The 25,834-nt window shown below is 39.7% G+C and overlaps 1 protein-coding gene and 1 long non-coding RNA gene across 3 annotated transcripts in view, besides 1 other annotated feature; one reads left to right on the top strand and one right to left on the bottom strand.

Moving 5' to 3' along the window:
- The window catches only part of LINC01088 (long intergenic non-protein coding RNA 1088), a 337,052-nt gene that overhangs the window by 260,567 nt on the left and 50,651 nt on the right, over positions 1-25,834 (top strand). The gene's annotated exons all lie outside the window — the stretch shown is intronic.
- The window catches only part of NAA11 (N-alpha-acetyltransferase 11, NatA catalytic subunit), a 170,686-nt gene that overhangs the window by 76,939 nt on the left and 67,913 nt on the right, over positions 1-25,834 (bottom strand). The gene's annotated exons all lie outside the window — the stretch shown is intronic.
- Positions 15,951-16,452: an enhancer, noted in NCBI's record as "H3K4me1 hESC enhancer chr4:80169419-80169920 (GRCh37/hg19 assembly coordinates)". NCBI's record gives its function as "activates a minimal SCP1, AML or CMV promoter by ChIP-STARR-seq in naive H9 embryonic stem cells {active_cell/tissue: H9 hESC(naive)}" and the evidence as "EXISTENCE:reporter gene assay evidence [ECO:0000049][PMID:30033119]".

The following is a 25,834-nucleotide window of genomic DNA, read 5'->3' on the forward strand; positions in this document are numbered from 1 at the left end:
TCTTTAGCTCCAAAACAACTGTTCCCTTTTCCACAACTCTCCCTAGTTGTGTTTTCTTTCTAAAATGTTGTGGCATGGCATTGAAACACATAATGCCTTCCATAACAACCCAAGTTTCTTTCCTATGTTAATGCTCACAGCATTCTTCAGAAGCACATAAAGCTTCATCCACATGTTAAAAACAATAGTTTGTTGGCTTTCACATTTATGCAGCAGATACCTGGGAAAGCCAGGAATAGAATCCAGTTCTTTGGTCTCTCAATCAAGTTCTCTATCCACTTGTTTAGGTTACTACTATGTTGTGAGCCAAATGAATCATGTAAACTCCCAAATCCTTTAGGTTCCTGGCATATCATATGAAATGAGAATTTGTTCATGAGGGATAACATCTGTTAAAGAGACCTTTGTATAATATTTGACAGCCCCAACATTCCTTGAATGCTTGACAACTGCCATGGGGATAAAACTGAGCATAGCACTAGAACAGTCAACTCTAGATTGAGTCATGCTCTGTTTGCCTCACCACAAATTATTATTTATTTTTCACAGGGAAAACAGTATAATAGAGTAAGAAAAAACATGGATTCAGATACTAGTTCTACTGCTAACTTTTATGGCCCAGGAAAATTCTTTGTCCTATTTTAGCTTATTCTGTAAAATGGTTATAATAATATCTACCTCATAAAGTTGATGGTGGGGATTAGATGAGAAAATATATAATAAGTACCTAGTACAATGTCTGCCACGTGTCTAAGCTATCATCACCTGGCCTTAGTCATTATTAGCTAAGTTTTTTTTTCCTGTTTTTTAACTTGTATGTCAATGCCTTGATATTACTTGATGTGAGTTGGATTCAAGTGTTTCATTATCTCTGCCCCTTCTCTTGAGAACAGAAAGCTAGCCACCTTTCCATGTGTATACAGAATGACTGTACTGTCAATTAAAGTGACTGTAGAAGACAATTTTTGAAAATCAAATACCATTTTTTAAGATGGCCTCCAAAATCACCTCTACTAATTTAGCTATGTGACCATATCTTTTGTAACCATTTTGTCTTGGAGGTATATATTGATTTTGTCTGTATAGCATTTATTTTACTCATTTTTTTAAAAAAGGAATCCCTTGTTTTTCTTTTGACAACCACTCATTCCCATTTTTGGTTTATGTAAGGGGTTAGAAAATTTTTTCTTAAAGGGTCAGAGAGTAAACAGTTGAGGCTTTTCAGGCCATGGTTTTGGTTGCAACTATTCAACTCTGCTATTGTACCCTGAAAGCAACCACAGACTATTCACAAACAAATATATACATGGCAATACTTTTCAACAAGTCTTTATTTTCATAACCTGGTAGCCTACTTGTGGACTATAGTTTGCCTCTGGTATATAAAATTTAGATAAAATTACCTTTTCCTGCACTCTATTCCCCCACATGATCCAGAACTGCTAACAGTGTACTGTATCCATCTGGCCACTGTGGTTGGCTCATGATGGGAATTTGATTTAAATTGAAACAATTAGAAACAGGCCCATAACTTTTGCTATTATGGTTAAGGAAGATGCACTCTCTTTTACTTGGGGTAGATAAATTGGTAGAATATATTTCTGGGATGTCTGGTGGTCATCTTGTTTCTCAGGGACTGTCACTTGGGGAATCTGTCATCTTGTCAAAATGGGGAAGTCTACCTGAAGCTGAAACCAGTGCAGAAGAACACAGAGCTGAGAAACATAATGGAAACTGCAATCTTTTGTGTCAGTAAGACTAAGTTGTTTTCTTCAAGAACACTTTGCCAGAAAAGATAAGACCGCAAAACCAATAAATAAAACAAGTCTTCATGTGAGGTGATGTTTCTTCAAAATCTTCCCTGCCTAAAATGATTTCGAGGTTATCCTTTGCTGTAGAAAATTGGGGCTTTTTATTACCAATTATCTCTCTCTCTCTGGATTAAATCCAGAATTGTTAATTATTTGAGTAAAGTTTCAGTCTTGTAAGCAGCCATCAATTTGCCCCTTGGCACATTCTCAAGAAGTTCAGTGGCTTTCTATTTAAGCAAATGTCTAGTTAGTCTTTTCATATTTTCTAAAATCTCAACCCTAATTCCAGGATGAATGACTATCAGGGCATATGGTCTACGCTTAATTGGCCAAGAAAAAGAACTACAGTCAGGTACTTTGCAGACAGTATAAATTCAAACTCACAGACACCTTTGTTTTTGGGTTCATGCTGACAATAGAAAGCAGTGAATTTAGACCACATTGCTTTGCTTTTGTTCAGCTATATTCCAAAGCATTGCTATTAGTTTACTGAGTGCCATTATTAACAATAGCCCCATAAAACTTGTAGTTCCTAGATGATATTGTTAAGGGTGCATTCTCTACTCCATGCAGTGACCTTTTAATAAGAATACATGAAAATAATTTCTTTCAAATCTCAGTGCTAGGAATGTCTGGGTTTTTTTCATATCAATTGATTATTTTTTAAAATGTTATGAACACCATTAATCATGTACGTTTTCTCTTTGAACAAACTACTAAGGTACTCAGTATTCAGTTTATGACTGAATTCTAGTAAGGCTAAAGGATCTTTTTTTACCAGTTATTTTTATCCCAATTTCCTAACTAATTTTAATTTATCACATAGCATTGTGAGACAGTTTGTAACTATCTATATGAAGAGTCCTTCTTAATTAGTTAATAAAGAAATGTAGGCCAAGAAAGGAGAAAGGGGCCAGAAAAGGAAAGTGGGAGGATACCAGAAGCTGATCTTTTTCATTTAACAGCTTAGTCCAGTGCCTTGCCTGGACTGCCACTAGCTGTCTTTTGGTCTAGAAGAAGCCATGAGCAGGTTCCAATTGTATTGCTTCTAAACACTTGCTGACTGTCAAAAAGACCCCATCCCTTTGGGGACATAAGCCCTAGAGTTGAGAGCACCCACAGGATTCACGCTTCCCTGACTCTGGGGTTCCCTTTAGGGCTTTACCAGATGGAAAACTAGCACCTCGGAGCCAGTGAGGTGGTGAGCTAACAGGCTTTATCGACAGATGGAGGACCCCAAGTGTGAACGAAAACAGCTTCAGCTTGAAAGAAAAAAAAATTCAGAATCCAATCTATGTAAGCAAATACCCATATAAACCAATTATTCAAAAAAAACCTGGGGTACAATGACTACCTTGGTGACTCCACATGGAGATATTTACCTGTCCCATATTTTGTTAATGCTTTTAAATCAGTTATACTATGTTGAGAAAGAATGATGCTTTCCTGTTTTAAATGTGAACTTAATGTAGTGTGACTAGTTCCCGTTTGTTGCTGTTAACAGGATAGTTACTGACAATTTTGGGAAATCAGAACTTTAACAATTTCACCACACATTGTTTGGAAAACCTTAAGTGTGTCTTTCTGCTTGTGCTTTCTCTGAATGTAAAGATATAAATGTGTGGTAATTGGATCAGATAGATAGATCATAGTTCCATTATATGGGAATATTACTGGAAGTTATGAAGTATTTGTCTCCAGGTTCATCCAACACTTCTAACCATTTAATTTTTATCAATTTCTAGAAATAGTAACATTTATACAAAGAAGCTACCTCCAGTATGGATCAGATAGATAGATCATAGTTCCATTATATGGGAATATTACTGGAAGTTATGAAGTATTTGTCTCCAGGTTCATCCAACACTTCTAACCACTTAATTTTTATCTATTTCTAGAAATAATAACATTTATACAAAGAAGCTACCTCCAGTACTTAGCTTCTTGTTAAAAAATTATTATAGGTTAATTTTATAACCTACTTATAACTACATAAGTCTTGTAAAATGTATATTTCTTTGGTTAACATTTTATATTTGTTCTATCCAATGCAAAGACAAAGTATTGACAAAATTACAGATATTTTACTTACTAAGCCTCCATTTGTTTTTCAGCTTAAAAATAAGTTCATATACATCTGTTGCATTCCACTGACCACAATTTCACATCTTTTTGTTTTTTTAAGTGTCAGAAAAATTTTCACCAAATTATTTGAGAAGTATTTATTTCAGGAACTCTATGAATATAAATAAGTTTCAGATAAAAATAACAAACCTCCCCTTAAATTTAAAAGGACTTCTTATTTCAATTTGAAGAATTTGTAAAATGTATTTTATGGAAAAAAAAAGATTTTTTCCCCCTCAGGTTTAGAATATCTAAATTCATTTTAAAACTGATTTTTAAATTCAGAAGAAATTATACCTCAATTGGAATGCTAACATAGGTTTGAGAATTTTTAATTTGAAAAAAATTTATGAGTTAATTAAAATCTTAATTATATCATTGCTGATACATTTTTGATAAGTCAAAAATCTATTAAAACTGAATTAAAGTCTTCAAAGTTGATTTTAACATCCAAGTTTCGTTATGACGTGTCATTCTTGACATTAGGGACAGAGAATTAATACAGCAAAATTATAAAGGGTTGCACAAACAGAGCCATCTCTGAGGTGGCAGAGGAGCTTAACACTTCATGGGACCCTTTTGCACAAGTGACAACATTGTATTGGTCATAATGGTGCATAGTCCACCATCTGTCTGATAAAACAACTCCGCATGCTAAGTATTATTGACAGGAAGATGGGAAAACTGCCTTCTTGTGGGGGCTCTGGCTGACCCTTTCTCAAAGCCTGGCAAACTTTCAAAGGTCTTTTCTTCAGTGTAAAATACCATCAATCTGCCTGACTCAGTATTTCCCCTTTCTTAGAGTACATGCAACATTCTTTCTGAAAGGAACAGCTACAAATGTATTCCAGTGATCTAAAATGTTGAAACACAGGTGCCTAAATTGGGTAATGTAAAACTGTCTTTTATTTATGGCCAAAATTTACTGTATATCAGGGAACATCTGATCAGCTATAGAGGTTACCAACATGAGGTTTCTGGTGATTACAGCCAAGTTACAAGGATAGTGAACTTAGGAGTAGTCTGAAAACAGCCACTCCTAGCTGCTCATTCACACAGTGGTATGTATGTGGAGTTAGGTGTCTAGAGATGGTTTTAAGTGGCTAAGACACAGATGTTGGAATTTCAGCCTACAGAAGGTGTGTGCACACATGTTTGAGTGTGTGCATGCTCCCATATATCTATTGTTTTCTTTACAATAATCTGTGATTTTTAAATTCTATTTTTATAAAAAGCTTTATTGAAGTATAATACACACCACAATATTTACCCATTTTAAGTATAGAATTCAACGATTCAAACACTGACACCTATCACCTTTCACTTCATTTTGACAGTGTTTGATAACATATTGTGATTAGGATTGTGTTACTCTGATTTCTACTTGCTTGTTAAACTAAATTGTTAAATTAGTATTACTGAGGGCAATTTTATAATTATTGATTAGTGCAGAAACTTAGGTCTAAACATTGACGAAAAGCTGTTCAGGAATATGATCTTCAAACGTTTACTTCCAAAGTAAAGCTTCCAAGCTACATGTGGGTCATATTTTCTTTGTCATGACAAAATATGTACAGTTTATGTGATCCCGTAATTTGTATTATTCATTATATGCCCTGTTTCCGTAGATCTGCAAATCAATGCATATGTGTATATGTGTAGATTAGAAGCTATATTGCTAATTTGAAGTCGACATAGGTCTTGCATTAAACAAAAAAATCTTTTTAAAGGCTCTGCAGGATCCCAGTTTACAAAGTCTGTATCCTAGGCAACTTTGAAGCTTTCTAAGGAATGTGCCAAGTAGACAGCTGCTGTAGCTACTACCAGAGAACAAATCTTTTTCACCTTGGCATCTGGGTTTTCCATTTGTTGGCCAAAAGAAGCAGAATTTTAGCATTGTCTTTAGCTATTCAATAAATGCCAGTGGCTTAAACCATTGGGAATACTGATGAAGAGCAGTTGTTTGTTAAATGCCATAAGGACCTATTATTTTAGCTGTTAAAGTCAATTTTCTGAATTAAAAAAGTAAACTATGATAATCCATGTGATTTAATTTAGATTTTCTGTAAATCTCTTCCTCCTTTTCTGTCCCCACTGAACCACTGTTGAGAAGATATCTTATAATTTAAAAATCATTATAACTTAAAACTTGGAACAAACTGTAGAATAAGATTTTGAAGTACAACTTATGGAAATCTAATATAACAGACAGAGTAAGTGAGGAACAGGTAGCAACACACAAGATTCATCATAATTTCCCTTTTAAAAAATTGCCTAGAATATGTATGATATATATTAGCCCAGATTACCTAGAACACAGAGCTTCAGACAAAGCATATATGTTAATAATGCTTTCTTGGGGAGTACAATCTCAGGGTAATAAAAGTGAAGGAAGAAGGGAAGTGAGATAGGGAAAAAGGAACACAAATAAAAAATCATTTCTCAACTAGTTAAGTACAGGTTCACACACCAAAAAATGGCAGTTGTTCAGTCATAAGAGATGTCTCCTGAGATCATCTCTAGAATCTCTGTGCCTTGGAATAATCAGCAGCAGGAGGAAATGAATAGATTTATTTGCCAGTATATACTTGCCTCTTGTAGTTCTCTTGGTCAAGGTTTATGCCATAGACACTAATGTCACTGCAATTCTGAGTTATATTACCTGGCCACTTGGAATTCTATTGGGAAATCCAGGTCATACTTCCCATAGTATGGTATTGTTGAGTTGGACAGGAGCTGGTAAATTTGCTGTGATTTCTTCCATGGCAGGAGCCATAGACTTATGTTTAAGTCTAGATATCACTCTGAGAAAGATTGAGAGAGTGATAAATATTAAGTGAAAGGTGACAATGACAGCTGGTAGGATTCCATTGAGCGAGTTGGCAAGGCTTGGGAGTCAGCTAGTACTAAATGAATCTAGGGAGTCTTGTAGCTGGATTCAGTATGAAGTGTCATTCACTTATAGAATTCAATTTGCATGAACCATTAACATTATATGAACATAACTGTTTTGGTTGTCTACTATGCCTTAAGCGAGAGATAGCCAGAAATAAAGATATACATTAATTTATGTGCAGTTGTTAATAGTTTAGCTGGATGATCAGGGTCTTGGAAGGAAGAGAATTGGGAGATTGGTGACAAGGAAGTCTGAGAATAAGTATGTGAATGGGGCTGGGCACAGAGGCTCACACCTGTAATCCTAGCACTTTGGGAGGCTGAAGCATGTGGATCACTCGAGGCTAAGAATTCAAGACCAGCCGGCCAACGTGGCAAAAGCCCATCCTACTAAAGAAAAATACTAAAATTAGCCAGGTATGGTGGTGTGTGCCTGTCCCAGCTACTCAGGAAGCTAAGGGATGAGAATCGCTTGAACCCGGAAGGCGGAGGTTGCAGTGAGCCAAGATAGTGCCACTACACTCCAGCCTGGGTGACAGAGCAAGACTCTGTCTCGGAAAAAAAAAATGTTTGTGAATGGACCTCTTATAATGGACACAAACTGTGAAGATATTTGTTTTCTATATTAATGCCCACCAAGGGATGTCTATTTTAATAGTCAGGAGGATAAGATGACATGTTCTCTAGTGGTCAGTCATCTAGATTTCCCCAGCTAGCCCACTGCTTGTACAATGAGCCTATGAGCAAAGTGGCCATGATGTCAGTGATGGAGGTGTGCATGGGCTCAACATCATGGTGTGCACTTACCAAGGGTGACCTGGCTGCACTACTGCTGAGTGCCTAATCTGCTAACAACTCCTGAGAGTACCAGGAAATGGTGTCAGATTAATTACATTGGATGTCTTCCATCATAAAGGGGGAAGGTATTTGTCTCTTGGAATAGACATATTTTTGATACAGATTTACCTTTCCCACCTTTAATGCTTCTGCCAGCATTGAACTCACAGAATAATTTATCCTTTTTATGGCATTCCATGTATAATTGTGTGTGATCAAGGAACTCATTTCAAAGCAAAAGAAATGTAGCAATGGGCTCATACTGATGGAATTAACTAACCTTACCACATCCCCCATCACTCAGAAGTGGCTGGACCAATTTAAAGATGGAATGGCTTACTAAAGCAGTCAGGTATAGTGTCAGTTGAGAGATAATACAGAAATGAGGTTCCATTTTACAGGATGTACTTAGTATATGCTTTGTGTTAGAGATCATTATATGAGGATGCCTTTTCTATAGCCAGAATACAAGGGTCTGGAAATCAAAGGGTAGGATTGGCAATGTTCTTCTCAAAATATCACATAATACCCTACTCACAGAATTTTTGCTTCCTGTCCTGCAACTTTGCATTTCGGTTGTTTATGGATGCTGGTCACTAAAGGGAATGAGGCATGGAAGATACTTCCATCAGTGGAAACAATAATGATTCCATTGAATGGGGAGATGAGACTGCCAACTAGTCATTTTGGGCTTCTTATGCCACTGAAAAAACATATCAAAAGAAAAAGAAGTTACTTTTTCTGGTTGGAATGATCAATTCCAATAATCAAGGAGAAACTGGGCTGCTGTTACACAATGGAGGTAAGGAGGACCATGTTTGAAATATGGTAGATTCTCTGTGGTGTCTCCTAATATATTCATGCTCAATGGCAAAAGTCAGCAGAGAAGTATAGCAACTAAAAAACAACAACAAAAAAAGGCAGGGTAACTGAGGACTCAGACACTTCGGGAATGAACATTTGGGTTATTCCACCAGGTAAAGAATCGTCAACCAGCTGAGATTCTGGCTAAGGGCAAAGCAAATACGATATGGCTAGTGGAGAAAGGAAGTCTTAGATATCAACTAAAGTAGACCCTTGAATAACATAGGTTTGAACTGTGTGGGTCCACTTGTACATAGATTTTCTTCTGCCACTGCCACCCCTGAGACAGCAAGACCAACCCCTCCTATTCCTCCTCCTCAGCCTACTCAACATGAAGATGATAAGGATGAAGACTTCATGATTCACTTTCGCTTAAATATATTTTCTCTTTCTTATGATTTTCTTATTAACATTTTATTTTCTCTAGCTTACTTTATTGTGAGAATGCAGTATATAATACATATAACATACAAAATATACGTTACATAACTGTTAATGTTATTGGTAAGCATTCCAGTCAACAGAAGGCTATTAGTAGCTAAGTTTTGGGGAAGTTAAAGGTTAGAGTCGATTTTTGATTGCATGGTGGAGGGTTGGCACCTCTAACCTCTTTGTTGTTCAAAGGTCAACTGTACAAGTGCAGAAACAAGGACCATAGTAATTTTGCATATATGCTTTTTGTTTCTAATATTTGCATATATTAACTTTCTTTTTGCTTTCTTCTTTCCATTTACTTTTATATACTAGTCGGTGGAGATTAACTTTATAACTTAGTCTGTAAGTGACAGCATATTCAGTAGAGCTATGGAGGAACTTGAGGAATAACTAGTATAGTAGGCAGTAGATACAATGACTGCTGGGACTATGTCTCTCCTCATTTTGGGGAAAGGGTAAGAACTGCATCACTTGTAAGTAAAATAGTTGAATCTTGTTAGATGGAAATTTAGGGTTATTTTAATGTGGTATGGAAGCTCAAATGTGTTAGAAAGGTGCATATGGAAACTGAGTAGCCAAAGAGGTAGTCTGGACCTTTCAGGTCCAAATCCACCTATCACTACATGCTTTTCAATAATGGAGATGGAACCTATAAGCATTTATCCTTTGTAGTTGGCATGATGTTAAACATTGTCAATAGAGGGCACTGGAGGAACAGTGAGGAAGAAGGGGCTTTTCTCTGCTATTCCAATGTGTTTCTTGATGCTGCTTCTTGCTCCTCATGCTTGTTTGCCAGTGACACACGTGAGAGGCATCTAGTAGTACTCATCCCCTTCGAGTTTAAGTGGTAATTCTGTGGATGGCTTCCTGTCAAGTTCCATTCATACCGCCATGAATGCATTCCTAGAGAGTCTTGTAAGCACTACAGCAGTCAGCTCCATAGCTGTGGCCCACCTGCACCTTGGAGGGGGATATCCTTCTTGTTAGTTTCAGCTAGTTCCAGCTCTAGTTCCCTGCCTACCAGTTTCAGTCCACCTGCACTTTGGAAGTGCATTTCTGGCTTGCCAGGTCTAGCTGCAATTGTGTCTGCCTGCTTCAACTCACTTGTACTATGGAGGGGCATTTCTTGATTACCCAGCAATTGTGAATTAGTCTGGCCTGGGGAAACCCAGTGAACTTCTCTGCCACCCAAAGGGTACCAACAATGTCTTTTCCAATGAAGTCTGAACCCCAGACTTAGAGAAAGGAACTTCCAAATGTATTTCTTCATTGGACATTCTTCCTCTGCCCTGGTCCTCCTTAGTCCTCTATAGTTAATTCTGTTCATAATCTTTATATTAAAATTCCCTGTTCAAATTACTGTGTTTTCTGTCTCATTCCATCTTAATACACTACTTATCTATGAGATTTGGAAAAAAGGATTGTATGAACAAGAGAAGATATTTTATCCCAAATATTTTAGGGATTTTATTATCCACTTTGGGGTTCAGTTGTTAGTCTGGAATAGAAAACATCAGGAATGCAGTAGACCTATTGGCTATATGGTAGTTACAGCATTCATATCACAGCCATCAGGCTGGTTTATGTCTAACCTGTGCAATGCTTTTCAGGAAGGAGAGGAGCTTAGGGTTCCCTTGAGCTACTTCTCATTAGAGATAAGAATTAGGCTTTGGATAGTTTAAGGAAGCCCACTGCTTACTGGACATAGTCAAGAATGGGATCTCCTCTAGTCATGAACTAACCCTGGAGGTTAAATGCTTCTTTCGGTTACCCAAGTGATTTTCCGGAGTTGGGTCAAGTTTGAAATTTCTGGGTAGTGGTCTGAGATTGATGAAAGGCTTCCTCAGATGCATACATGGTAGAGAGAAAACCTTAGAGCACAACCCATCAAGAAAGATGTCCCCAGGTTTTGAAGACCTCAGGACCCTTTCACTGACTTTCATAACATGTTCTCAATTGGAAAAGGGCCAACTGGACGGTTATTTGTATCCTGCACAGCTGCAAATAATATTTTAAAAAATGAAGATGAGGAAGGGTGCTCCCTTTCCTCAATTATCTTGAAAAGATCTTGACAAAATTGTCATATGGGATTCATGTCCATCCCCCACATATGCGCTTACACCAATAATGCTTGAAAGATAGAGGATTAGGAAGTAATTGAATCTTTCAAATTATCTCGTTCATTTTTTGAACTTGCATGTTCTCTACCCCTTCCCTCACCACTAAACCATAAACTCCATGAGAGCAATCTCTTTTGTGTCTTAATCACCACTGCATTTATTGTATGTTTACTGTCTTTTAAATAAAACAAGTTTACTGATGTGTTAGCAGTTGAAGAGATTCAAGGTACCTCCAGTTACCAGTGGCAAATCCATATGTGTCTGCAGCAACTTCAATTCTTGCCTCCTCAGAAGAAAGAATTCAACTGAGGGGCATAAAACAGAAAAAGAGATCGAAGCAAGTTTCAGAGCAGGAGTGGAAGTTTATTTAAAAGGCCTTAGAACAGGAAAGAAAGGAAAGTTAACTTGGAAGAGATACAAGAGGGTACATGAATATCAAAGAGGAAATAAAAAGGGCCTTTAACCTCGATCCTGGGACTTTATGGGCTGGCCTCTTTCCCATGATTCTTCCCTTAGGGTGGGCTTTCCGCATGTGCAGGGTTCTCCTTACCCTTGGGAATTGAGCATGCGCAGTGTGTTTAGAGAGTTATAGGCATGCCCAACTGAGGCTTTCTTCCTTTTTCCAATGGAGTGTACACGGAAGATCATACTATGCCATTTTTGTATCTTAAGGTGCATGACCAGGAAGTTACTTCTCCCTGGGGTCAGCCTTTAATTAACACTTCAATGTTAACAGGGGTGGACCATCAGGAACTGGCCTCTCCCTGGCTCTGGCTGCCAAGTTATCGCTTTTAGAGAGGCATTGCGATAATTGCCAAACCATCACCTGACTTTTCTAGTGGGTGGGGCAGGGAGAGCCCTCTCCTGCCCTGCTCATGCCTAACTGCCTGTAACAGTCCCACCAGTCCGCTTCATTGGGCTACTTCCAGTAATACTAAGCCATAGGCATCAGTATGTCTGTTAACTGAATGAAAGATACATTGCCCAATTTTTCATTTAGTACTTTGCCTATTGTCTTTTTCACTTAGTATTTATTTGTTATCTGATTCTTGGTAAAACAGTATTTGGGAAACTGAAATTGGAGTAAATGTTAATGTTCCCATCACTATGTTTCCAAGATAAAATTTTTAAAATTAACTAGTTTACTACTAAGTAAACTAAAATGTAAGCATTTTATTATAGCTCTTGAAAATAAGAATTTGAGTCTCACTCTCCCTCTCCCCCTCCCCCTCCCCCTCCCCGTCTCCGTCTCCCGCTTTCCACGGTCTCCCTCTGTTGCCGAGGCAGGACTGTACTGCCGCAATCTCGGCTCACTGCAGCCTCCCTGCCTGATTCTCCTGCCTCAGCCTGCCGAGTGCCTGGGATTGCAGGCGCCCACCGCCACGCCTGACTGGTTTTTGTATTTTTTGGTGGAGACGGGGTTTCGCGGTGTTGGCTGGGCTGGTCTCAGCTCCTGACCTCGAGTGATCTGCCCGCCTCGGCCTCCCGAGGTGCCGGGATTGCAGACGGGAGTCTCGCTTACTCAGTGCTCAATGTTGCCCAGGTTGGAGTGCAGTGGCGTGATCTCGGCTCGCTAAAACCTCCACCTCCCAGCCACCTGCCCTGGCCTCCCAAAGTGCTGAGATTGCAGCCTCTGCCCGGCTGCCACCCCGTCTAGGAAGTGAGGAGCATCTCTGCCTGGCCGCCTATTGTCTGGGATGTGAGGAGCCCCTCTGCCCGGTGCCCAGTCTGGGAAGTGAGGAGCGCCTCTTCCCGGCCGCCATCCCGTCTAGGAAGTGAGGAACATCTCTGCCTGGCCGCCCATCATCTGGGATGCGAGGAGCCCCTCTGCCTGGCTGCCCAGTCTGGGAAGTGAGGAGCGCCTCTTCCCGGGCCATCATCCCGTCTAGGAAGTGAGGAACGTCTCTGCCTGGCCACCCATCATCTGGGATGTGGGGAGCGCCTCTGCCCGGCCGCCCTGTCTGGGAGATGAGGAGCATCTCTACCCAGCCACCACCCAGTCTGGGAAGTGAGGAGCGCCTCTGCCCGGCCGCCACCCCGTCTGGGAGGTGAGGAGCGTCTCTACCCGGCCGCCACCCCATCTGGGAGGTGAGGAGCGTCTCTACCTGGCCGCCACCCCGTCTGGGAGGTGAGGAGCGTCTCTACCCGGCCGCCACCCCATCTGGGAGGTGAGGAGCGTCTCTATCTGGCCGCCACCCCGTCTGGGAACTGAGGAGCACCTCTGCCCGGCCACCCTGTCTGGGAAGTGGGGAGCCCCTCCGCCCAGCAGCCACCCCGTCTGGGAAGTGAGGAGTGTCTCTGCCTGTTCGCCCCCTCTGGGAGGTTGGGGGCGCCCCCGCCCGGCAGCCACCCCCTCTGGGAGGTAGGGGGGCGCCTCCGCCCAGCCGCCCGTCTGGGGGGTGAGGGGCCCCTCTGCCCGGCCGCCACGTCTGGGAAGTGAGGAGCCCCTCTGCCCGGCGGCCACCCCTTCTGGGAGGTGTACCCAACAGCTCATTGAGAACGGGCCATGATGACGATGGCGGTTTTGTCGAATAGAAAAGGGGGAAATGTGGGGAAAAGAGAGATCAGATTGTTACTGTGTCTGTGTAGAAAGAAGTAGACATAGGAGACTCCATTTTGTTCTGTACTAAGAAAAATTCTTCTGCCTTGGGATGCTGTTAATCTGTAACCTTACCCCCAACCCCGTGCTCTCTGCAACTGTGCTGTGTCAACTCAGGGTTAAATGGATTAAGGGCAGTGCAAGATGTGCTTTGTTAAACAGATGCTTGAAGGCAGCATGCTGGTTAAGAGTCATCACCACTCCCTAATCTCAAGTACCCAGGGACACAAACACTGCGGAAGGCTGCAGGGTCCTCTGCCTAGGAAAACCAGAGAACTTTGTTCACATGTTTATCTGCTGACCTTCTCTCCACTATTGTCCTATGACCCTGCCAAATCCCTCTCTCCGAGAAACACCCAAGAATAATCAATAAATACTAAAAAAAAAAAAAAAAAAAAAAGAAAAAATAAGAATTTGAGCAGTTTTAAAACTTAGAAATACTCCAAATATTAATTTAAAGAATCCTTTAAAATGCAATTAAGTATTTAAGCTAAATGGATATGTAAAAAGAAAAATTTAGTGGTATCTTCAGGAAAAAGAAAGGATCAACTTTGTGAAAAGTAACTAGCAATTAAAATTTTAAAACAGACTTATTTAACACACTTCGAAAATGCGATTAAATCCATCAGTTGAACCTGATTACTTCTGTTCCTAAGGCAGTTTATAATAATATACTAATAATCACAGTAAGTGCTAAATAGTGAGCTAAGCACTTAAAATGCATTCTTTCATTTAATTAATTAATATATTATGTAAAGAATGCAGAGAGGCCTGGAGTGGAACTAAATCCACTGATCATTACTTTCTAAATTTATTACAGAGATTCACTTAGAATTCAAATTCCTTTGATATAAAAGTTTGGTTTTTCTAATCGGAATCACCCTCTCTCAAGGGAATCAGAGCTAGTCCAGGGAGCTAGTGGCTCTTTGGGCCCCAGTTTTGGTTTCTTGAGGCAAATGGTAGAGCAAGAAGAGTCTCACTGAAGGTCAAGGGCTGGAGGAAGCTGGAGTTGTAAGTCAAGTCAGGAATGTGAGTGAGGTCAAACGTCAATGGTAGTGGTGCAGAAGTAAGACTTGAGGCTAGGGTTCTAAAGCCAGGAGTTCAGAGGTGCATATGGCTTAGAAAACAGTGAAAAACAGATGGCAGGGCTGGAGGGATTTGGAATAATTGTTGAAACTATCATTGTGTATTTTGATAGCTTGACTTTATAGGTCCAGGGGAGAGTGGTGTATTTATCTGGCTTAGGAAGCCATATACGAGAAAGGTGATTACTAAATCTATATTATAAACATTTGATTATCCACATTGAAGCTTATTTTTTCTTGTTACCTTCACTACATTTCTGAGAATTTCATATCTCCCCTGCATTTCAGTTTTCCCTGTATTGGCTTCCTCACAATCTATTCGTCACAAAATTCCTTTGCCATTTGCCTGTATTCTTCCAAACATCTACTTCATAGGAAGTTGAGACACAATAACAGTTTTTATAGAGACAATACTTAATGATTCAGAACCACAACTAAGAATAAGAAGAGACCTTAGGCTTGGAGGCAACATAGCCAACTAAATACAGCCAGGAGGAACATCTGCCACCAAGTGACCAGAACATCAGTAAGACTGGCGCACTCCAAGCAGATCTTCAGAGGGAAGGCATTGAGAGCAGACAGAGGGAGGACAGAGATACTGGGTTGAAGGGGGAGAAAGCTGGGAACCCTGCCCAGGACTACCATGCACTGAGACTCATTCCTGGCCCCAAGCAAGTCCTGGGGAAGGGGTGAGTTAAGCAGGTGTGGAGCAACCTCCTCTCACCACTGGTCTCAGGAATCTTGGCGGCAGAAGACCCCATGACCCCCACAGACACTTGAACTGGTGGAGAGAGCAGCTTAGAGAGGTGGTAGGGGCAGAACTCCAGCTGGCACAGATCCCAGAGGATTTGGTGCGGGAGTGTCTGTAGTGGAGCACAGCCAGGGATGCCCATCTCCCAAGGCTTGCCTTGCTCCCCTAGGAGACTTTAGCCTTAGGGGAACTATTGGACCTGAACAGAGCAGGGCAATCTTGCCTATGAGATGAGGCCAGTCTGACCTGAGCACTTCCCTGTCTACTGGCCTCTCCTAGGGCCCTGGCCTGACCACACCTGCTTGCAGTGCAGCCTCAGATGCCAAGCTGTGGTGCCTCCCTGGGGCCCACATCATAGCTCATGCACAGGTAGACCGGGCCTAATTGTCAGAGAGTTCCAGCAGAACGGCCTCCCCACTGACATTCACCAGCCCGCCTGCACCTTCCCCCAACTGCAACCTCCCCCATACTGCTTTGTCAGTACACACACACCCATAACCAACCCCCACAATCGTTTGATGGGTCATGTGGGATCAGGTGGACCTTCCTTCCCTTCCCCTACCACTGGCAGGTATTTGCATATACACCCCACCATGCCATGGCTGCCAGTGTGAGCACACTCTGCCCCCTGCTGTGCCACCATTGACAACATAGATGCACATAAGACCAGCAGCCCTGCCTGCCATTCTGTGCCACAATTGCCACTGGCACAATTGCAAATGTGGTGACCTCTAGCACCACTTTCACCAGTGCTCTACCCCTGCATTGATACCACCGGCACAAACCTGTGCCTGGAGAACAATGGCCCCACTCCCCACCCTGTGCCACCATTGCCACCAGCATGAACATGTGCATAGAGGGCAGCAACCCCACACCTACTAGTTCCCCACCCCGTGCCAATACTGCTGCCTGCATAAACCTGCACGTGGAGAACAGTGGCCATGCTGCCACCACTGCTGCTGTGAACACCCGCAGGAGACTGGCACTGCACTGTACCCACCAGCTCCCTGCCTTAACCCACAAGCATGCACTCCGCCATGCTGCCACTGCACTGACACATGCAAGTGATTACAGATCCCACTACCACTGCCTAAAAAGCACTTTGGCTGGCACCACCCATTGGAATGTTGTGATGAGCAGTCTGGGAGCACTTGAGCCCCCCCCCAGTGCAGCAGGTTCCTAACTGTGAGGGGCCAGAGAACAAAGCAGGGAGCCCAATGCCAGCTCCCAAGAGTTACAGCACATGGCCCCAGAGTCCTGAGCGGAGCCCTGGGCCCCTAAAATCTTCCAGAAAGGAACCAGTCAACTGAACCCACCTCATAAGGATGAGAAAGAACCAGTACAAGAACTCTGGCCACTCAAAAAGCCAGAGTGTCTTCTTACCTGCAAATGACCACACTACTTCCCCAGCTATGGTTCTTAGCCAAGCTGAAATGTCTGAAATGACAGATATTGAATTCAGAATATGGATAGGAATGAAGATTATTGACATTCATGAGAAAGTTGAAACCTAATCCAAGGAATCTAAGGATTAGGATAAAACAATACGTGAGCTGATGAACAAATGACCATTACAAGAAAGAACCAAACTCATCTGATAGATTTAAAACTCACTTTGAGAATTTCAGAATACAATTGCTAGCATTAACAGCAGAATTGACCAGCTAAGGAAAGAATCTCAGGGCTCAAACACCGGCTCTCTGAAATAACACAGTCAGACAAATATAAAGAAAAAGCAGTAAAGAAGAATAAACAAAACCTCTAAGAAATAAGGGATTATGTAAAAATGCCAAAAGAGAGGCCTATTGGTGTCCCTGAAAGAAAGAGAAAGCAAACAACTTGGAAAACATATTTCAGGATATCGCCATGAAAATTCCCCAAACCTTGCTAGAAAGACCAACATTCAAATTCAGAAAACACAGAGAACCCTTACAAAATACTACACAAGAATACCTTCTCCAAGACACACAGTCATCAGATTCTTCAAAGTTGAAAGAAAAATACTGGGTGGGCCAAGATGGCCAATTAGAAGCAGCTACAGTCTGCAGCTCTCACAGAGGACAAAATGGTGAATGAATTCTACACCTTCAACCTAGGCATCCAGGTTCTTGCATTGGGACTGACTAGGTGATCAGCATGACTCAGAGAGAGTGAGGAAAAGTAGGGTGTGGCTATGGCCCACCCAGGAGCAGCACAGAGCAAAGGGAGCTGTCATCCCCAGCCAAGGGAGTTGAGTGATTGTGTGACCCCGCACAGGAAACCACATTTCTGCCACAGATCTTTGCAATCCACCCGCTATGAGGCCATGCCACCAGGGCCTTGGGTCTGAGGCAGAGAGCTGTGTAGATTCTCAGCGGCCACTTGGGCATGCACGGAGATGCAGGAGTTTTTGCAAACTCCGGCCCCAGGAATTCTAGTGAGGCAGGAGATCTGTCCATTCCCATAGGAAGAGGGCTGAAGCCAGGGAGCCGAGAGGCCACGTTCAGCGGGCCCCGCTCCCATGGCACCTCATAAGTTAAGACCCATTGGCTGGAATTCCAGCTGGCCAGCGGCAGCAGACTGGAGACCGCCTGAGATGATTGAGTTCCACAGGAACTCGGAGACTGAAACTAGACCCCTTCTTTATACCATATGCAAAAATCAACTCAAGATGGATTGAGACCCAAATGTAAACCCTAAAAGTATAAAAACTCTGGAAGGTAACCTAGGATATACCATTCTGGACATAGGACCCGGCAAAGATTTCATGATGAAGACGCCAAAAGCAATTACAACAAAAACAAAAATTGATATGTGGGACCTGATTAAAGTAAAGAGTTTCTGCACAGCCAAAGAAACTATCAACAAATAGGCAACCTAAAGAATGGGAGAAAATATTTGCAAACTATGCATCTGACAAAGGTCTAATATTCAGCATTTATAAGGAACTTAAACAAAATTACAGGAAAAAAACACCATTAAAAAGTGGGCAAAGGACTTGAAAAGAGAGTTTTCAAAAGAAGACATACATGGGCCCTACAAGCATATGAAGAAATATTCAACATCACTAATCATTAGAGAAATGCAAATCAAACCACAATGACATACCATCTCACACTAGTCAGAATGGCTATAATTAAAAAGTCAAAAAATAACAGATGCAAGTGAGTTTGCAGAGAAAAAGAAACACTTATACACTGCTGGTGGAAACGTAAATTATTAATGGCTCAGCCATTGTAGAAAGCAGTTTGGCGAGTTCTCAAAGAACTGAAAACAGAGATACCATTTGACTCAGCAATTCCATTATTGAGTATATTCCCAAAGGAAAATGAATCATTTTACCAAAAAGACGCATGTACCCTTATGTTCACTGCAGCACTATTAACAATAGGAAACACATGAAATCAACATAGATGCCCATCAATGGTAGATCGTATGAAGAAAATGTTGTATATATACACCATGGAATACTACACAGACATAAAAATGAATGAGATCATGTTCTTTGCAGCAACAGGGATGGAACTGGGGCCATTAGCCCAAGCAAACTAACACAGGAACAGAAAACCAAATATCTCATGTTCTCACTTATAAGTGGGAGCTAAGCATTGAGTACATATGGACACAAAGAAGGGAACAACAGACACTGGGGCCTACTTGAGAGTGGAGGTTGAGAGGAGGAAGAAGATTACAAAACTTCCTACTGGGAACTGTGCTGATTACCTGGGTGATGAAACAATCTGTATAACAAACTCCCATAACAGGCAATTTTCCTGCATAACAAACCCGCCATGTACCCCTGAACCTAAAATAAAAGTGAATTAAAAAAAAAAACACCTTTTGTTAGCTTCTTCTAAAAAAAAATAATAATAAATGACCTGGCCAATTGTGCTGCATATACTTGTCTTCCCACTTATAATAATTTATGTAGTATGCTTTATATTTTATTTTCCCTTAACTACCAGATCCATATGAATAAAACTGATTATGCCTCTTTCAAAAAAAGAGAAACCTTATTAGCATATTTATCCCTATGCTTTCATTTTAAAAATCCACTCATTCAAAAAAACATCTGCACTCGTATGTTTACTGCACTATTCACAATAGCAAAGTCATGGAATCAACTGAAATGTCCATCAACAGATGATTGGATGAAGAAAATGCGGTATATATTCACCATGGAATACTACTCAGCCATAAAGAATGAAATGTGATTTGCAAAAACTTAGATGGAACTTGGGACCATTATTCTAAGTGAAATAACTCATAAACAAAGTCAAATATTGCATGTTCTCACTTATAACTGGAAGCTAAACAATGGGTTGCATGAACTGAGAGAGTGCAATGATAGACAATTTAGAGACTCTAAAAGACGGGATGGGGAGGGGGAATGAGTGATGAAAAATTACCTACTGGGTACGATGGATACTACTACAGTGATGGGTACCCTAAAAGCCCAGACTTCAGCACCAAGCAATATATCCATGTAACAAAACTGCATTTGTACCCCTAAATCTATTTTTTTAAACCCCACTCATTCAACATTATTTATTGAGCACCTAAAATGCACCAGGCAGTCTTCTAAAAACTGGGGAAATAAAGGTGAATAAAAGAGGTTGAGCTCCCATTCTCATAGGACATACATTTTATTGGGGTAGATAGATAATAAACAATAAAATAAATATAAAAATGTAATATAAATGGCAGGTAAATGCTTTCAAGAAAAAAAAACATGGTAATGGCATAGAGAATGATAGGAGAAAGGAATGTGATTAGGGAAGTCTTCTGTAAAAAGTGAAATTTGATCAGATAATTAAAGTGAGAAGAAATTCATGTTGCAGCTCTGAGGGAAGTATGTCCAAAGAAAATTCAGTGAGAACAAAGTTGGAGGGCAGAAAAATTTCAGGATTAGCAAGGAGGCCAGTGGCACTGAAGAGGAGTGAGAGAAGTGGAAAGAGATGATGTTAAAGAGATATGCACATATCACACAGGTCCCTGAGGGCCACAGTGAAGAGTCTGAAACTGATTCTCATGCAACAAGGAACCATTAAAATGTTTAAGCAAGGAAAAGTCATGATATATACTTTCAAAAAGTGTATATCAATAAAGAATACACTGAAGAAAGGCAAGAGAGAATGCAGGGAGACCAGTTAGGGGTCTCTTGAATTGTCAAAGTGAGAGGTGATAATGGCTGGGATCAGGGAAGTAGTAGTAGAAGTGGTGAGAAGTAGCCAAACATGGAATATATTTTGAAGTTTAAGTCAACAAGACTTTTGGTTGATTTTATAGGAAGTGCAGTGAGGATAAGAGAAGGTTGAAATGTGACTATAAGGTTTTCGACATTTGCGTCAGGATATGTAACATTTGCCAAGATGGTAAAGACTAGGAGATAATCATGTTTTGGGGGGAAACCAAGAGTTCTAGTTTGAATGTGTTACACTTAGATGCCTCTTAGATATTCAAATAGAGTCATCAAATAGGCAGTTGAATATAAAAATGTGGAGTTTGGGAGAGGTCCAGGCTACAGTTATCAAATTGTGGAATCTGTTGCACAATACTAGTATTTAAAGCCATTGGACAAGATTAGATGACCAAAGGAGTAAGTATAGAGAAGAGAAGAGGCTGAGGGCTGAGTTCTGGAGCATACCAACATCCAACCACTAAAAAGACAGAAACCAGCAAAGAAGATTTAGAAATCAGAGGAGAACCAGTTGAAGAGAAGAGAAGTGAAAGAAGTGATGAGAGAGAGAGAGAACTAAAGTTTAGTTATTGAGCATGGCAAGAAGGGTGTCATTAGTGAGCCAACATGAATGATTTCAACAAAGAACTAGAAGTCCTACGACAGAATATTCAAGAAGAGATGAAAAGTAAAGAAATGTTTTTAAAAATAGGGATCAGAAAATGGGCAGTAGTTGTAGGAGGCTGTCATCTCTAGTGAAAGTTTTATTATTTTTTTAAATGAGTGATATTAGAAAATGTGCTTATGCTGACAAGGATGATCTGTCATGCCTAGACTTTTGAGTTTGAGAGGAGGACACATTGCCAGACTTTTATTTGTCAAAATAGATGAGCTTTCTGTCAGGAGGGAAGGTAGTTTTTCGTTGACATCTTCATTAGAATCAGTAGCATTGAATAAGAATAGCTTCAGATTCCCTTTTTTAAGACAAACATAAATAACTTCACAGGGCATGCTCTGCCTCACATAGATTTCCAGGAATCTAGGCATGTGGCAGGAGTGGCAGGCCTGCCACCCAGTGTAGCTGGTTCTGTGTGATGGATTGGTGAGCTTTGATGAATGGCCTATGCCAGGCAGCACCATTAGAGCTGACTCACTCCAGCAAGATTAATTGTATTAGATTGTACAGACATCTTTCAAGAGGGAAGCATTTCTGTTTATCTATCGCATGTCCATCACAAAGGGGGTCCCTAGCAGCCTGTCATAATCCATAAAGAGGATCAAAACATTTTCATATCTATCAAGGATGCTTTCAATGGTTTCCTCACTTCCTGTTGCATCCTCATGGCCAATAAAAACATACTTTGTTGGAGTTATTAAATTCTCATTATAAGTTATCCTTGGCACTAAGAGAGAAAATTAAAATAAAATGGTCTAAAGACCAAGGTAAACCATGGATTAATCTAGTTTGTATAACATAGCAATTATTATATTGTAAATACTTGTCCACATGGTGTCCCAGATTCCCTGAGAGATAGTATAGAGTCTGAAATACATTGTGTTTTATGTTTTTAAGTGAATTAATTTGTGAATAAGATACATAACACTATAGGATTAATGGGAACTTAAATATTTAAAAAGGATTTGTCCTTTTCTTTTTTTTTTTTTTACTTTTTTCTTTTAGTTAATTTAATTTATTTATTTACTTTTTTATTATTATTATACTTTAAGTTTTAGGGTACATGTGCACAACATGAAGGTTTGTTATTGATGAAGAAAATATATAAGTCCAAATGACACATATACCATATATTTTAGTCAAATATTTACATAGAGCTTGCTATATGACAAGTAGTGTAAGAATTGCTTCACAAATATTAGTTCATTTAACTTCATAAGTTGGTATTATTATCAGTATTTTACATATGAGGAAACTGAGGCAACTAACAGTGGCATGGAACATAAATGTGGAATAGTCATGTAATTAAGTGATATACAGAAATGATAATGAACTATAATTATATACAATAATGTCAAAGAATCTCCCAAAATGTAGAGTGAAAAAAGGAAGACACAAAATACTACATGCTGTATGGTTTCATTTATAGAAATTTCAAAGACAGGGAAAACTGATCTATAGTTTCAGAGATCAAGATAATGATCACACTGGGGGTGGTGGTGATTGGAAGAGGGAGTGAAAAGAGCATACATTATAACAACTTTTTCCATTGTTGATGAATACTTGCATTGTTTTTAATTTTTGCTATTATGAAATGAATTGCTCTAAATATTTTTGTACATGTCTTTGGTGGGCATATATGTCTCAGTAATTTTTTAAACTCTTCTTTACTGATATTAATATCAATATTCTGTATTACTATCAGTAATACCAGTATTTTTATTAGTATTTGTGTGCTATATATTTCTTTTTCAAACTCTTCTTTGATATTAATATCAGTATTCTATATTGCTATCAGTAATGCTGGTGTTCTTTTGGTTAGTATTTATGTGCTGTAGCTTTTTATCCTAAGTGAGTCCTTAAATGACTATCTCTTGTAAACTGCATTTAATTGTCTTTTTACCAAAAAACAATATTAATCTTTTATTTGGATTGTTTAATTCATTTATATTCAATGTTATTAGTGATATAGCTGTGATGCAGGGCAGACAAGCCTCAAAGTGGAGTTTACCTGTGATGGTTCTTGGCTTTGCCCAGGAAGGAATTCATGGGCAAGTTAGAGGTGGAAGAAAGCAGCTTTATTGAAGAGACGTTGTTACAGCTCCATGGCTGCTCCTGCAGAGCAGGGCTACCCTGTAGTCAGACAGTAGCAGCTTAGAGCAGTTTTGCAGTCATATTTATACCCACTTTTAATGGCATGCAGATTAAAAGGTATTTTATGCAGAAATTTCCAGGGAAGGGTAGTAACTTTGGGTCATTGCCATGGAAAGGGGCGGTAACTCCCAGGTGTTGCCATGGCGATAGTAAATTGACATGGCTCGCTGGCGGTTGGGTCTGATTGAAAGCTGCTTCCACCAGGGCCCTAATTTAACTAGTCCTCAAGTTGGTCTGGTGTCTGAGCCCCACCTCCGGAGTTGAGTCCTGCCTCCTACTTCAGTTGGGTTTTTAAAATTATCTTTCGATTTGTTTTTTATTTGCCCCAGGTATTCCTTGTTTCTCTGTTCCCTTTTTCTTGCCTTATTTTGGAATTATGAGATATTTTTACAATTTAATTCTTTTCTCTTACATTAAGGTTTTAGTTATACTTTCTTATACTATTTATTTCACGTATTTTAAGAACTACAGTAATTTCTCCTGTATGAAAAAAGTGAATTGAGGGGTAGGAAATGTTCCTTGTAGCCCTCAATGTTGCAGTTATAACTTTGAGTATTATTTCACCTACAGTTCAGTTCAGTGTGTTCCTTTATCCTGCAGATGGGCTTCTAGATCTAGAGATTTGATCAGACACTGGTTGCACCCCTTTGGCAACACAATAAATGGTGCTGGGTTCTTTCATCAGAGACAAGTAGAAAACATAAAATTCACTCTGTCTTTATGTTAGCAGCTATTGATGCTCAGTGATTAGATCCATTAAGTCTTTGAGGGTTCTAAAATGGTAATATATTAACTCAATTAAAATGAACCATATATATATAAATATAAATATATATATATATATATTGACACGAGGTCTCACTCCATCACCTAGGCTTGAGTGCAGTGGTGCCATCTTGGCTCACTGCAACTTCCACCTCCTGGGTTCAAGCAATTCTTATGCCTCAGCCTCCTGAGTAGCTGGGACCACAGGTGCATGCCACCACACTCGGCTAATTTTTATATTTTTTGTTAGAGACAGGGTTTCACTGTGTTGACCAGGCTGGTCTCAAACTCCTGGCTGCTTTGGCCTCCCTAAGTGCTGGGATTACAGACATGAGCCACCATGCCCGGCCTGTAAATACTTTTGTAGCCATGTCAGAAAAGTTTAAAGAAACTTGTAAAATTAATTCTAGTATATTATATACATATTTCATTAACCCAACACCTCACAAAATACTATCATTTCAACATGTAATCAATGTAAAGTTGTTAATGAAATATTTTCTTTATTTTTATTAAATCTTTGAAATCTGTTGTGTTCTTTTGCATATGCCCTCTCTATTTTTCCCCTATGTGTTCCAGTTGTACTATTATTACATTGACAGAGCACATAGCCATTACATTAAATACTCTTAAATTCTCAATCTTATTTACACCACTAGCTTCATATTTAATGCTCACCACCAGTCTTTTTGTTGATCTTTCTCTAGTCATTTTGGTTGTCTGAAGCATGTTTTCTAGATATATCTTGGTGTAGGTCATTTTGTTTCAATATTTTGGGGTATGCAGTATGAAGTTTTAAAGTGTAGTTTCAAAATTTTAAAAATACTTTAATTTGCAAGAGATTTTTTTTTAATTGTTGCTTTTAGTTTAGTATTTAGTTCCTTTGCTTTGGTTTTCTTCTTTAGGTCACTTATTATCTGTAAGAGGATTCTCTTTGCCTATATTCAAAATGTGCCACTTTCAGAACCATTTTCTTTCATTTCTTTTTGATTCTGAAATTTCTTTTTACTGCATATTTCTCTGAAGCCACTATTTCTGTGTACATTCATTTTGGTGTTTGATCTTTATTTCAAAAGCTTTTTAAAATTTCTAATTTCTTCTTGAGTTCTGTCACCTAATTTCTGAGTTTTTCTAATTTATTTCATATATTGTATCATTTTATTAATACATTTTAACTAATTTTGGAATGTATGCTGCCATTTTAATCTATATTTGAGCATATTTTTGTGGCATAATTTTATTGCCTGAAGGATGTTATTCTGCTTCATATTCTGTTAAAATTTTAGTTTAATCTTATTTGTTAAATAGACAGATAAATTTGTCTATATGTAATCATGTACAACATGAGAGTCACTACAAGACAATATGAAGCAAATTAACATATGTGGGGTAATGCATATGATAACAGTAGTGGCCCATCTGGAGCGGCTACTGCCATTATGCCAGCTGCAGTGGAAAGGTGTGGCCAGGGCTGCACATGCCACAGAGCCAGTGGGAGCCAGGGAAAAGTGGGAGCCCTGTCCCTTCCAAGTTGGTGGGGCAGGAGCTCCCAGGGGTCAG

This window comes from Homo sapiens, chromosome 4 (genome assembly GCF_000001405.40).
Source record: "Homo sapiens chromosome 4, GRCh38.p14 Primary Assembly".
Classification (NCBI taxonomy): domain Eukaryota; kingdom Metazoa; phylum Chordata; class Mammalia; order Primates; family Hominidae; genus Homo; species Homo sapiens.